The sequence below is a fragment of the Homo sapiens genome, chromosome 8 (assembly GCF_000001405.40).
Source record: "Homo sapiens chromosome 8, GRCh38.p14 Primary Assembly".
Taxonomy (NCBI): Eukaryota; Metazoa; Chordata; class Mammalia; order Primates; family Hominidae; genus Homo; species Homo sapiens.
Genome location: NC_000008.11, coordinates 51,907,990 through 51,922,082, shown reverse-complemented (window position 1 = coordinate 51,922,082; position 14,093 = coordinate 51,907,990). Strand labels below are relative to the sequence as shown.

The 14,093-nt window shown below is 38.6% G+C and overlaps 1 long non-coding RNA gene across 4 annotated transcripts in view; it reads right to left on the bottom strand.

The window, feature by feature from the left end:
- Positions 1–14,093, bottom strand: part of PCMTD1-DT (PCMTD1 divergent transcript) — a 50,575-nt gene that overhangs the window by 27,807 nt on the left and 8,675 nt on the right. For 2 of the 4 annotated variants that reach the window (NR_189279.1, NR_189277.1), the window contains exon 2: positions 8,903–9,026. The exons of 1 other annotated variant lie outside the window; for it this stretch is intronic. This is a non-coding gene — a long non-coding RNA (PCMTD1 divergent transcript). Of the gene's footprint in view, positions 1–8,902; positions 9,027–10,353; positions 10,664–14,093 lie in introns of those variants that run through there. One more of the 4 variants, NR_189280.1, reaches the window with a different exon arrangement.

Here is a 14,093-nt window from a genome sequence, read left to right as displayed (position 1 = left end):
AAAATTCAGGCAAGCATATACACACACCCTTCTTAGATTATATAAAACCAAAATCAAGTATTTTATCCACTTTTTGTGGAAGAAAGACATTCTTAGAAATCAAATGGAAGCTATTAATAGAAATTGAAATCTGGAGCCATTAGAGGTGCAGAGACTGAGAACTGCTTTAAGCAAGCACTTGAGATTAATGCTATAGTTTCCTCCTAAGGGAGCATAGCATATTGCATTCTGCTGTCAAGATATGTGAAACAATTGTACCCAAGACTAGGTCAAAGGATGTTTGAGTAACAAAGTCCACCTTGTCCACTGACATAGAGTCCTTGCTTGGCCAAACTTTAGTCAGGCTTCTGAATCTTCTGCTAAGGCCCATCTCTGTGCTTTCTTATAAAATCCAGTTTTAGCAAAGTGCACTGCTTAGGTAGTTTAACAAGAAGCTCCTATTCTCAATACTGGATCATCCTCAATATCTTGATCAGGTTCCTCATCCCCACCAGCTGCCAGGTGATGCCTGATCACCCTGCCTGCCTTCAACAAGAATCCTGTAGGTCAGTTTAGCCAGAATTCCCCTTTCCCTTATGCTACCTCTTACTAATTTTCTATTCATTGACCCCAACCCTACTCCTTGGCTATCAACTCCCACTTGCCCATGATGTATTTGGAGTTAAACCCAATCTCTCTCCCCATTGCTATGCAAGACCTTGTTACAATGGTCCCTATACCTATTGAGATCGTCCTGAATACAGTCTTCTTTAACTGTACTTTAACAAGCGTCATTGAATAACTTTTTCTTTTCTTTTTCTTTTTTTTATAGAGACAGAGTCTCTCTCTGTCACCCAGGCTGGAGCGCAGTGGCGCAATCACAGCCCATTGCAGCCTCAAACTCCTGGGTTCAAGTGATCCTCCTGCCTCAGCCTCCTGAGTAGCTGGGACCATAGGTATGTGCCACCATGCCCAGCTAATTTTTAAAAAAATTTTTTGGCAAGACAGGGTTTCACTGTGTGGCCCAGGATGGTCTCTAACTCCTGGGTTCAAGCGATCCTCCAGCCTCAGACTCCCACAGTGTTGGGATTACAGGCATGAGCCACCATGTCCAGACAGAATTTTTTTCTTTAACAAGATTCAGCTACAAGTAAGCAGCAAGCATTTGGTGCAGATACACAGTAGGCAAAAACTGCACAGGGTTGATGGAACTCAAGCAACAAGAAAAGAGGGAAATATACAATAGATAAAGCTAGCTGGCTAAAGTTTTTATCAGTTTTAAATGAAGAAAGAGTGAAAGCTAATCTAAGAATACCATTTAAGCATATTAATATATGTTAGGCATAATTGTTGCATAAAATCATGCTACTTAAACTGCAAACTATGATTCTCATTCCATAGTAAGCTTTATCATTAAATCCTTTGTATTGTCTATATTCATAAAGTCCCAGGTTGAAGAACACTTATAATTTAATTATAATTATAATTTTATTATAAATAATAAAAATGACATCGACCTTGAGCACTTGCATAGATTGGAAGGTGGGCCAGGAAGAAGAGGTAAAGAGAAAGTGTGGAAGTGAATGTCATCCTTTTATAGAGTAGGGACTCACGAGACTGCCTATGCTCAATGGAATAGGAAATTTAGGCTTACGTAGATTTTTTTAAAGACAGAAGATATAGTCAAGGAAATAAAAAATAGGAGAGCAGCAATGAGTGTACTAAGTGAAGAATCTCTGCAACCGTCATTGCAAGAGGATGACAATGTCTGAAAATAAGTATTAAACAGCACTTAACATAATTTTGATTAAAGAAATGAGCACCACAACAAAATTAAAAAGGAATGATTAAAAGTGGGTTTCCCGGGGATAGGTGGGTCAAGGGTGAGGAAGGATGGGGTGAAGGAACTGTTGATTTTGTTACAAGTCCAGCAGCAATATATGATTTATATTAACCAGGACATACATGTTACTTTGTTCTAATTTAAAAATATAAATTTAAAAATTTTAATTGTTAATTTCCAGATATCATTACAAATAAATATGTGAATCAGGTGGAACCTCAGGTGAACTGTAAGCACTGTTGTGATGCTTAGAGTGCTTACAACTGGCAAACGATGATGACAATAGTTATCTCTGTGCTGCCTGTGCCCATGAGGCCTGCATCAGCATCCCCTAAGGCATATGTCACAAACTACAACTCCTGGGCCCAACTCAGAACTAAGACTCTGATTCTAAGAAAGAGAGAATGGTGAGAATTCACATTTTTAACACAAAAAGGCTCAAGTCTTCAAGTTGGAGAGTTAGGAGACTAAAGAGCATTTGAATAATATAGTCTATAAAAGTCTGAGCTCTCAAGGCCACCTCTGTGTGAAATACAATGATACCTCTTAAACCAACAAATGTTTTAAAATATAGCGGATAGAGTTAATGCCTGAATCCATATGCAGTAGAATGAATGTTTGCATCCCCCTAAACTTCCTATGTCACAATCCTACTTCCCAGTGTGATGATATTAGGAGGTGGGGTTTTGGAAGGTGATTAGGTCATCAGGTGGACCTCTCATGAATGAGGTTAGTGCCCTTATAAAAGAGACCCCAGAGAGCTCCTTTGTCCCTTCTACCATATGAGGACAAAATGAGAATCCAGCTCTCTATGAACTAGGAAGTGGGCCCTCACCAGTCGCCAAATCTACCAGTGCCTTGGTTTCAGACTTTGCAGTCTCTAGAACTGTGAGAAATAAATTTCTATTGATTTTAAGCCATGCAGTGTGTGGTATTCTGTCACAGCAGCCTGAACGGACTAAGACACTGTAGCTATTAGGTGTCTGACTGGATCCATAGCTACCAGAGCCCGTGGGTTGGCAGTGAAATGGGAAGCATGGACACTTGGGATGACATGGACAGTGACAGGGAGAAGTGACACATCCCTAATCTGCAAGGCCCAGAGAAGCTACAGCAGTTAAGGTCAAGACAGCAGAACAGAGCATGGCCCCAAGGCTGCAGCAGGTAGACACAGGAGGCACCCATCCCTGCACATTTCCAAGAGAAGGAATGCATTTGGAAATGAGGTAGCACCTCCACTTATTAAACTGGTAGGGTCTGAGACTAAGAACTATTTCTCTTACTGCAGTTATTTTTGTTCATATCTTTTGGTTATCCTTACTGGGGCTGCTGTTGCCTGAGAAAGAAAATGATGTTCCAAACAGAAAGCAAAAGATTGTGAGTGTTTGTTTCTCTTTAGACTAAGACCCAGAAACCATTTTTAATTGATGTACTTTTAGCAAGCACTTACTACACATAGTTTGTGGTTCACTTAACATCTCTTGACTATGGGTCTGACATTATGGTATGAAAGGTGAGTAAGAGAAAGGGTTTGCCCTCAAAGAGTCAATTCAGTTGAGAAGGCAAACAAATATGCAATTATAAAAGTGGTAAAGAGGTTGTATGTTTCTCCCTGGAAGAGTCAGTAAAGGTAGAATACCTTGCATTGAAACCTCAAAGACAGTAACAAATGCATAAGAGGACTCCACGGCAACAAGCTATTTGATATAACTAGAGGTATAGTGGCAATAAATTACAGTGGGGAAGGAGGCAGTGACATCAATGGTTCTTACCTAGGCTCCTCACTAGAGTCAGCCGAGGAAACTTTAAAGAAATAATCAGCGATCAGCAAAAATGGCAGAGTATACAGCTTCAAGCACCCTGTCCTCCACAGAAACAACACACAAATCATGCAGGAACTCTCAGAATTTGCTTTGCCAAAACACAAAAACAACACAAAAAATCAAGCAGAAACTCTCAGAATTAGCTTTGCCAGAAATGTGGGAAACAGAATCAAAGTGAACACTGTAAAGGAAAAGCCAACTTACATATTGCTGAATTCTCTTTACTATTACTTTGTTAAGAATGTCCGCATATTTATTCAAGAAAGATGTTGGTCTGTAGTTTTCTTTTTTTCTGATGTCTTTGGTTTTATTATTAGGGTAACATTTACCTCATAGAATGATTTACAATATGTTTCTTCCTCTTCTAATTTCTGGAAGAGATTATGTATAATTGGTGTTACATCTTTAAACCAATGTTTGGTTTGTATATCTTCTATTGGTTTTGAAGATCTCTGACTGACACAATGAACAAATTAAAACCAAAGTTAACAGAAGAAAAGAAATAATAAAAATTATAGCAACAATAAATGAAATTAGAAAACAAAATAATCAACAAAACCAAAAGTGGGTACTTTGAAAAGATCAACATAATTGACAAAGTTTTTGCATCTTCTTGCTTTTTTTTTTAAAAAAAAAAAATCAGTCTAGTTTAGCTGATATTTTTAAAAAGCAAGAAGACACAAAAACCTAAAATCAGAAATAAAATTGGTGACATTCCAATGAACTTACAGAAATAAAAAAAAGTATGAGATGATACTATGAACACTTGTACCCCAATAAATTAGATAACCTAGGTGAAGTGGACAATTTTCTAGAAATATGCAAATTACTCAAGAAGAAATTGACTCAAGAAGAAATAAAAAATTTTATTAAGCCCATAATAAGTAAAGTGATTGAATCAGTAATGAGAAATCTCCCAACAAAGAAAAGCCAAATAGTAAATAGCTTCATTGTTGAATTCTACCAAATGTTTAAAGAATTAACACCAACACTTCTCAAAGTCTTCCAAAAAAATAGAAGATAAGCAGACAATTCCTAACTTATTTTCTGAGGCTCATATTACACTGATATCAAAGCCAGGCAGGGAGACCACACTACATGAAATAAAACTACCAACAAATACTCCTTATAAATATAAATGTAAAAATCCTCAACAAAAAATTAGCAAACAAAATTCAGCAGCATATTATGAGAATACCTTCAGTTTTATAAAGAACACCTATAAAAACACCCTATAAATAACATATACTCATTTATGAAAGGCTATTAATTCCTCTTAAGATCAGAAACAAGGAAGGATATGCCCTCTAACCATGTGTAATCAAAATAGTGCTAGAAGTTTTAGGCAGCACAAAATGACATGAAAAGGAAATAAAGACATACAGATTGGAAAGAAAGAAATAAATTGTCTCTATTTGCAGATGACATGATAACTGACATAGAAAACCCTAAGAAATATGCTCATATAGACACAAAAAACTTCTAGAAATACTGAGTTTAGCAAGGTGGCAGGATACAGGATCAACATACAAACATCAATTGCATTTCTATATTCTAGCAATAAACATGTGGAAATTGAAATTAAAAATTCAGTACCACTTACAATTACTTAAGAAAGGTGAAATACTCAGATGTAAATCTAATAACATATGTACAGTACTTATATGGTGAAACCTATAAAACACAGACAAAAGAATCAATGATACTATAAACTGGGAGATATTCTGTGGCCATGAATGGGAAAACACAACATAGTATACCAATTCTTTCCAAATTGAGGTACAAATTTAACACAATTTCCAAGCTAAACCATCATATACCCCGTGACCTGCATGTAGACATCCAAATGGCCTGAAGTAACTGAAAATCCACAAAATAAGTGAAAATAGCCTTAACTGATGACATCCCACCATTGTGATTTGTTTCTGCCCCACCCTAAGTGATCAATGTACTTTGTAATCTCCCCCACCCTTAAGTAGGTTCTTTGTAATCTCTCCCACCCTTGAGAAGGTTCTTTGTAATTCTCCCCACCCTTGATAATGTACTTTGTGAGATCCATCCCCTGCCCACAAACATTGCTCCTAACTCCACCCCCTATCCCCAAACCTATAAGAACTAATGATAATCCCACCACCCTTTGCTGACTCTCTTTTCGGACTCAGCCCACCTGCACCCAGGTGAAATAGACAGCCTTGTTTCTCACACAAAGCCTGTTTGGTGGTCTCTTCACATGGATGCACATGACACTGTTAAAATCCTAGACTATTATTTCTGTAGATATAGATCATTCTAAAATTTATATATGGAAAGGCAAAATAATTAGAACAGCTAAAACAATTCTGAGAACAACAAAGTAGACAAAATCTCTATTAATTTTCAAAACTTTTAGCTAGAGTAACAAGGATTGGGTGGCACTGGTGTAGGGACAGATTCATAAATCAATGGAACACAATAAAGAACCCCAAAGTAACTCCACATATGGACTGCCACTGATTATTGACAAAATAATAGAAAACCAGCTAAAATAGCAACAGCTATGTAATAGAGGAAGAATAGTCTTTTCAATAAATGGTCCTGGGGCAAATAGATATTATAGGAAAAAAATGAAATCCAACCTAAACTTCAAATCCTATATAAAACATTAATTTAAAATGAATCATACAGATTTAAATATAAAACTCTAAAACTTTTAGAAGATAATAGAAAACTCCTGGGACTTCAAGTTTGGTGAATTCTTGGACGTGACCCCAAAATATCAATTCATAAAAGATAAAAATGATAAACTGAACTGCATCAAAATTAAAAACTTTTTTAGTCTATGAAAACCCCTGTTAAAAGATAAAAAGACAAGTACAGACACGGAAAAACTATTTGCAAACCACATATTTGACAAAGGATCTAGAACATATAAAGAACTCTTGCTGGGCGTGGTGGCTCATGCCTGCACTTTGGGAGGCTGAGTAGGGAGGACTGCTTGAGCCCAGGAGTTGGAGACCAGCCTGAGCAACATAGTGGGACCTCATCACTACAAAACAACAACAGAAAGTTAGTTGGACATGGGAGCGCATGCCTGTGGTTCCAGCTACTTGGGGAGGTTGAGGTGGGGAATTGCTGGGGCCCAGAAGGTCAAGATAGCAGTGAGCTGTGATTGCACCACTGCACTCCAGACTGGGCTATAGAGTGAGATCCTGTCTCAAAACAAACAAACCAACAAGCAAACAAACACTTTCCAAAAATGTAAATTTGGGAGGTATTAAATATATCAAAAAAGTTCAATTAGAAAATCAGAGAAAGACCCAAAATAACATTTCACTGAAGGGGATATACCAATGGCAACTAAGCACATGAAAAGATATTCAACATCCTTACTTATTAGAATAATTAATGTAAAAAGTAGTGAACTTAAGACTGGTAAAGCTGTGGAGAAGTTAGATCTCTTAGACGTTGCTGGTGAGAATGTCAAATGGTACGGCTATTCTGGAAAATATTTTTTTGCACATCCTTAAAAAACCTAAACATATGCTTACCATAGGACCCAGCAATTGCACTTCTGTGTATTTATCCCAGTGAAAGAAACACTGTCTGCAGAAAAACCTGTACACAAATGTTCATAGCAGCTTTATTTGTTATAGCCCAACATAGAAAAAAAACAGCCTAAGTGCACCTCAATAGGTAAATGGTTCAATTAACTCCGGTACATCCATACCAGGTGTATTAGTTCATTTTCTCAATGCTGTAAAGATACTACCTGAGACTGGGTCATTTATAAATAAAGGAGTTTTAATTGACACACAGTTTTGCAGGGAAGGAAAGGGAAGGAAGGGGGGAGGGGAAGTGGAACAGGAAGGGGAAGGGGAAGGGAATCACCTACCATTTGGTCCCTCCTCGGACACACGGGGATCACAATTTGAGATGAGATTTGGGTGGGGACACAGAGCCATATTCCCATATCATCAGGGATTCCCATATCACAGATTCCCATATCATCACAGATTCCCATATCATCAGGGAATACTGTTTAACAATAAAAGAGGTATTACTGATATATGCAACAGCTTCAATGAATCTAAATGGCAGTATTCTGAGTGAAAAGGAAAAGGCAATCTCAAGAGGTCATATACTGTGATTCTATTTTTAAACCATTCTTACCAAAAAAGAAATATAGAGATGGAAAACAGATTAGTAGTTCCCAAGGGTTAGGGATAGTGGTGGTGAGGAGTGGATATGATTATAAAGGGGTACTAGAAGGGACAGCTTTGTGGTGACAGAAGAGTTCTATCTTGATTATGGTGGCAATTACAGAAATCTACGTATGATAAAATTACAGAAAATTATATACATATTGCACCAATATCAAGTTGTTGGTTTTGATATTGTTCTGTAATTATGTAAGATATAGCTACTGGGAGAAATTGAATGATGGGTACATGGAAATTCTGTACTATCTTTACAACTTCCTGTGAGTATATAATTATTTAAAAATAAAAAGTAAAAGCAGAAAAAAAATTGAAATTTATTCAAATAGGCCAGGCGCGGTGGCTCACGCCTGTAATCCCAGCACTTTGGGAGGCCGAGGTGGGCGGATCACGAGGTCAGGAGATGGAGATCATCCTGGCTAACATGGTGAAACCCCATCTCTACCAAAAATACAAAAAAATTAGCCAGGCATGGTGGCGGGCACCTGTAGTCCCAGCTACTCAGGAGGCTGAGGCAGGAGAATGGCGTGAACCCGGGAGGCAGAGCTTGCAGTGAGCTGAGATTGTGCCACTGCACTCCAGCCTGGTCAACAGAGCAAGACTCCGTCTCAAAAAAAAAAAAAAAAGAAATTTATCAAATAAAAGAATGAGTATGAATTTTAAAGATAATAGAAATATGTTGAAGAAAAAAATTTTTAATAACAAGGAAATCAAAAGCAGTTTCTAAAAGAAAAAAAACAAAAATCTGTGAGAAAGCAAAATGAAAACATGGCATGATTTTAAGAAAATGGTAGGCTATAGGAAACGAATATCAATTTGAATATTTCTTCTAAAATGGTACATTGTTTCTGAAGAAAACAGTATTTACATAGCTCTAGTAATGAGGGAACTGGGCTGGGCACAGTAGTGGCTCACACCTGTAATTCCAACACTTTGGGAGTCCAGGGCAGGATTGCTTGAAGCCAGGAGTTAGAGACCAGCCCGAGCAACATAGTGAGACCCTGTCTCTACAAAATAATAATAATAATAATAATAAATTAGCTAGGTGTGGGGGCTTGTACCTGTAGTTCCAGTTACTCATGGAGGCAGAGGTAGAGGATGATTTGAGTCCAGGAGTTTGAGGGTGCAGTGAGCTATGATCGTGCCACTGCACTCCAGTCTGGGTGACAGAGCAAGATCTCATCTCTACAAAAAAAAAAAAAAAATTAACCTACATAGTAAGATGGCAGAGAGCTATGGCTGCAGAACAGAACATAATCATGATCAACTCTGATATACAAAAGCAAAAACACAGCTTATAAAAGTTGGGAGACGGAAAGACAGAATAGAGGTTGAAGGAGGCTCAAAGCAATACATTTCCATTTTTCTTTTTTTTTTTTTTTTTTTGAGATGGAGTCTTGCTCTGTCTCCCAAGTTGGAGTGCAGTGGAGCGATCTTGGCTCACTTTAACCTCCACCTCCCAGGTTCAAGTGGTTCTCGTGCCTCAGCCTCCTGAGTAGCTGAGGCTACAGGAAAACGCCACCATGCTCAGCTAATTTTTGTATTTTTAGTAGAGGTGGGGTTTCACCATATCGGTCAGGCTGGTCTTGAACTGCTGACCCCATGATCAGCCCACCGCAGCCTCCCAAAGTGCTGGGATTACAGGCATGAGCCACCATGCCTGGTCCATTTCTTCAGTTGCAGAGTAGGGACAATCTATCTTTGTAAATGGAACATGATACGATTTTGAGTTACAATGGTAAATGCCAAAGTTACAAAGGTAAAAAAGAAAAAAAAAACAAACAAAAAAACAAATGCGGATAAAACTGTATGGGGGCATTAAATCTAAATTCTCATAATATCCTAAAGTTGATAAAAATTAATGAACCAAGTTGGTAAATTAAGCAATAATGGCATAATCACCTTATTTAAAGAAGAAGTAATAGAGATATAGAAGTATAGGACTAAAAGCAGAAATAATTAAAACTTGTTGATTCCGGGGAGTGAATGTAAGGGTGGGGTGGATTCAAACAAGGGGCTATTGTATTTCATTTTAAGTCCCATTCTATATGCTTGAGATACTACAATGAAAAAAAAAGATGAATGTTTCCAATTCCTTTGTACAGCTCTATATCCATTTTTGACTGCTAAATATTTAAGCTTTGGAAGTAGGGTAAGCAGACTCCAGTTACCCATCTCTCATAATAAGGAATGTCTGCATGTTGTTGATCCTCTCTGACAGGGGTGAGCCATTGCCTCCTCTGTTTCCCCCAAATAAATACTCAATGATCTCTGACGTAGGCTTAAGTATTTCAAAAATTAAATTAAGTGTATCTAAGCACTGGAGGATCAGGACCTACGATTTTATTTAGCTTTTGTTTTCTTGTTGCATGTAAGGGGCATAAAACTGTACCATGTCAGACAAAAGGATGGTCTTTTATTCTCTGGTTGTAAAACATCTCCAAAATCCTCTAATATTACTCTTGCAATCTAGACCTTTTTTTTTCATGAACAGGCACCACACACTCCACCATTTCATATCCCAGTTTTGTTTATTTGGGAACATTTACTCTTGTGGATAACAGAATACCAGTCACAAGATCCTTCTTCTGTATTACAAATTCTGCCACTTTGTTTCAGAACTGGGTATCAGGATTCCTCCTCTGCCCAGGTTTCTGCTGTCCCCCCAAAAGAAAGACATGTAGCTGGGCATGGTGGTACACATCTGTGGTCCCAGCTACTCAGGAGGCTGAGGCAGGAGGATTGCTTGAGCCCAGGTGTTCAAGGTTGCAGTGGGCTGTGAATGCTCTACTTCACTCCAGCCTGAGCAACAGAGCAAGACCCTGTCTCAAAAAAGAAAAAAAAAAAAAGAAAAGAAAAAGAAAGACTTATAATCTTTCTTTGGATAGAGGAAAAAAGATGGTGGGCTCTTCAACCCCAGGTTGAGTACTCCATAAATATAATACTGTCTGTGGCAAGATTTCTTCAGAATTTCCTTGTCACTATGAATATTAATCTCCTTCTAAGTCCAGCTAGTCTGGTTTTACATGATTAACATGATTAATTAATTATAATTAATCCTGGCTTAAAAGAGGCACTCACCTCTTTAAGTCTGGTTTTCATTACAAAAAGCATTTGCTGGGTAGTATGAGATAAATGGTGCCACCATTCTAAAACAACATCTTTGGCTCCCCATACTTTTCTTAATAGTGAGGTAGAAAATACTGAAATCCTTTGATACAGCAATAAGATTTTGTTATGTTATTTTACTTTACCATACATAGATGGAAAGATTTTATACATGTATTTTCAGGCACTCTCAAGTGCATTTGAAGTTAAGGCCTTTGTCTTATATATGTCCTTGACTTCTTCCTAGCACCAAATACTACCCCAACACTCAATAACTATTTGGTGTAAGAGTTAGCTAGATTATTTTTTCTTTTGCTGCATCATAGCAGATGGCCAGTGACATCTAGTTGGGCAATAGTTTTCACATCTAGTGGGAAATACTTTTCACTGAGGAGTTTTCATATCATAGCTATGTTACAATTTCAAGCATGCTGAATTTCATAACAGAGTAAAAAAGCTTCATATTTTTTACTACTAATATCTTACGCAAGTCTTTCATAAGCCAATAAATGGTTAATTTTTACAAAAGATGCTAATAGACCATTAATGCAAATATATGTATTAGCTTATGGTTTTTATTCCTAGCTATTGTTTTTAATTTTTTTTAATAAAAAAAAAATTTTTTTTGGAGACAGGGTCTCACTCTGTTGCCCAGGCTGAAATGCAGTCATGTGAACATAGCTCACTGTAGCCTTGAACCTCTGGGCTCAAGCAATCATCCTGCCTCCACCTCCTGAGTAGCTGAGACTATATGCGTGTGCCACCACATCCAGCTAATTTTAAATTTTTAGTAGAGATAGGGTCTTGCTATGTTACCTAGGCTAGTCTCAAACTCCTGGCCTCAAGTGATCCTCCTGCCTCAGCCTCCCAATGTGCTGGGATTACAGGTGTGAGCCACCATGCCTGGCCCTGGCTACTGTTCAAGTTCAGGATTATCAAAGAAAAAATGTGCCAGACAAGTTAAACAGGCAAGGTAGACTTTATTCAAGACAACTGTAATAAGGGAGAGAGACTGAACTCAACTCTAGATACCTGGGGATTTATAGCCAGTGGGCAAGGTGAGGTGTTAGTGGATGAAAAATTACTAAGGGGAACTTGATTTATTGTTATGGTGTGAACGTCTGTGTCCTCCCTCCCCACCCAAATTCATTTGTTGAAGCCCTAATTCCCACTGTGGCTATATATGGAGTAAAGAAATAATTAAAATTAAAATTAAAGTTAAAATGAGGTAATAAGAATATGGCCCTGGTTCACTAGGATTAGTGTCCTTATGAGAAGAGACATACTCTCTCTCCCTGCTGGTGCACAGAAAAGAGGCCGTGTGAGAACACAGTGAGGAGGCAACCAACTGAACTCAAAAAGAGAGCTCTCACCAGAAACCATCCATGCTGGCAAACTGTCCTTGGCCTCCAGAACTGTGTAAAGATGTCTGTTGTTTAAGCCACCCAGTCTATGGTATTTTGCCATAAGGCAGCCTGAGCAGACTAATACAAGTACCAAGGGTGTGGGGATTCTCGCAAAATCAGGCCCAGCAGGTCAAACATGAAGCCTAGCCAAGAAGAGGGCTGAGAGTAGTGGGACAAAAGTTTGGTCAGGCAGGGTGCAGTGGCTCACGCCTATAAACCCAATTCTTTGGGAGACTGAGGCAGGAGGATCACTTAAAGCCAGGAGTTTGAGACCAGCCTGGGCAACAAAGTGAGACCCCCTATCTGTATATAAAAAAAAAAAAAATTAGCCAGGTTCAGTGGAGTATGCCCGTAGTCATAGCTACTCAGGAGACTGAGGTGGGAGGACCTCTTGAATCCAGAAGTATGAGGCTGCAGTGAGCTGACTGTACCACCACACTCCAGCCTGGGTGGCAAAGTGAGACCTTGTCCCAAAACACACACACACACACACACACATAAATAAAGTTTGGTCAGTCTTTTCTCTTGTTCAAGGAAAGAACAGACATTTTTCTTTCCTCTAAATAGTAAGTCCATTTCTAAGTTGGCTTCCTTTTGTTAATTAAGGAAAAGCTAAATTATTCTCTTGAGATTTGCAGTAAAGACATTTGTTAGATGGCAAGAGCATTTAATGAAGGGTATTCCTATGAAAATAAAAGAAAAACAAAAATTAATTGTTGGAGCAGACTATGAACCCAGCTGGTGATTCTATACTTCAGGTGTGAAGCACCTGTAGAAGATGGAATAAGGATGGCAGTGGCAATCCAACTGCCACTGCAAACCAGTTTCTGGTTTGCAGTTTGAACACTTTGGTGATGACGCAGACCTCAGGGAGGTTTTCGTGAGATTGTCACGATCATGGTTATTTCCTACAGCAGAGTGTGGCAGAGGCAGGAGTTCCAGTGAACTTCCTGAGTGGCCTCCACAGCAGTAGCTCTGGGCATGAAGGATGCCCTAACATGATCTTTTGTGATGATGAGCACTTGGAAATTTATCCTGCAGGATTTCTGCAGATCTAGGAGAAAAGGCTGGCTACAAGACAACCTAGAGTCCCAATAAGAATCTGGATAGGCAGGTTTTAGTTAAGTCAGGAAGGTAGAAGTAAATCAGAAACATTTGGAGAGTTGTAGCCAGATATTAAAGGAAACTAGAAGAATTGAAAATTTGATAAAGACTGACACTATGTGTGAAAGAGCAGAGTCCAGTACCATTTACAAGTAGGCAACAAAACTATGTAGGGTTACAAAGAGGTGAAAAATAGCTCAAAGTCAATGTACAGGACTAGAATCTGGTAACCCACAAGGGGGTGTTAATAGTTTTCTACTGAAACAAAGAACTTGTCTCTACAGTCAGAAACAGTTAATTTTCCCAAGATATATAATAGACTATTAATGCATGTACATGAATTAACTCACAGTTTTTGGCCGGGGGCAGTGGCTCACACCTGTAATCCCAGCACTCTGGGAGGCCAAGGCGAGTGGATCACCTGAGGTCAGGAGTTTGAGACCAGCCTGGCCAACATGGCGAAACCACGTCTCTACTAAACATACAAAAATTAGCTGGGCGTGGTGGTGGGGTTCTGAAATTCCAGCTACTCAGAAGGCTGAGGTAGGAGAATTGCTTGAACCCAGGAGGCAGAGGTTGCAGTGAGCCAAGATTGCGCCACTGCACTCCAGCTTGAGACTCTGTCCCAAAAATA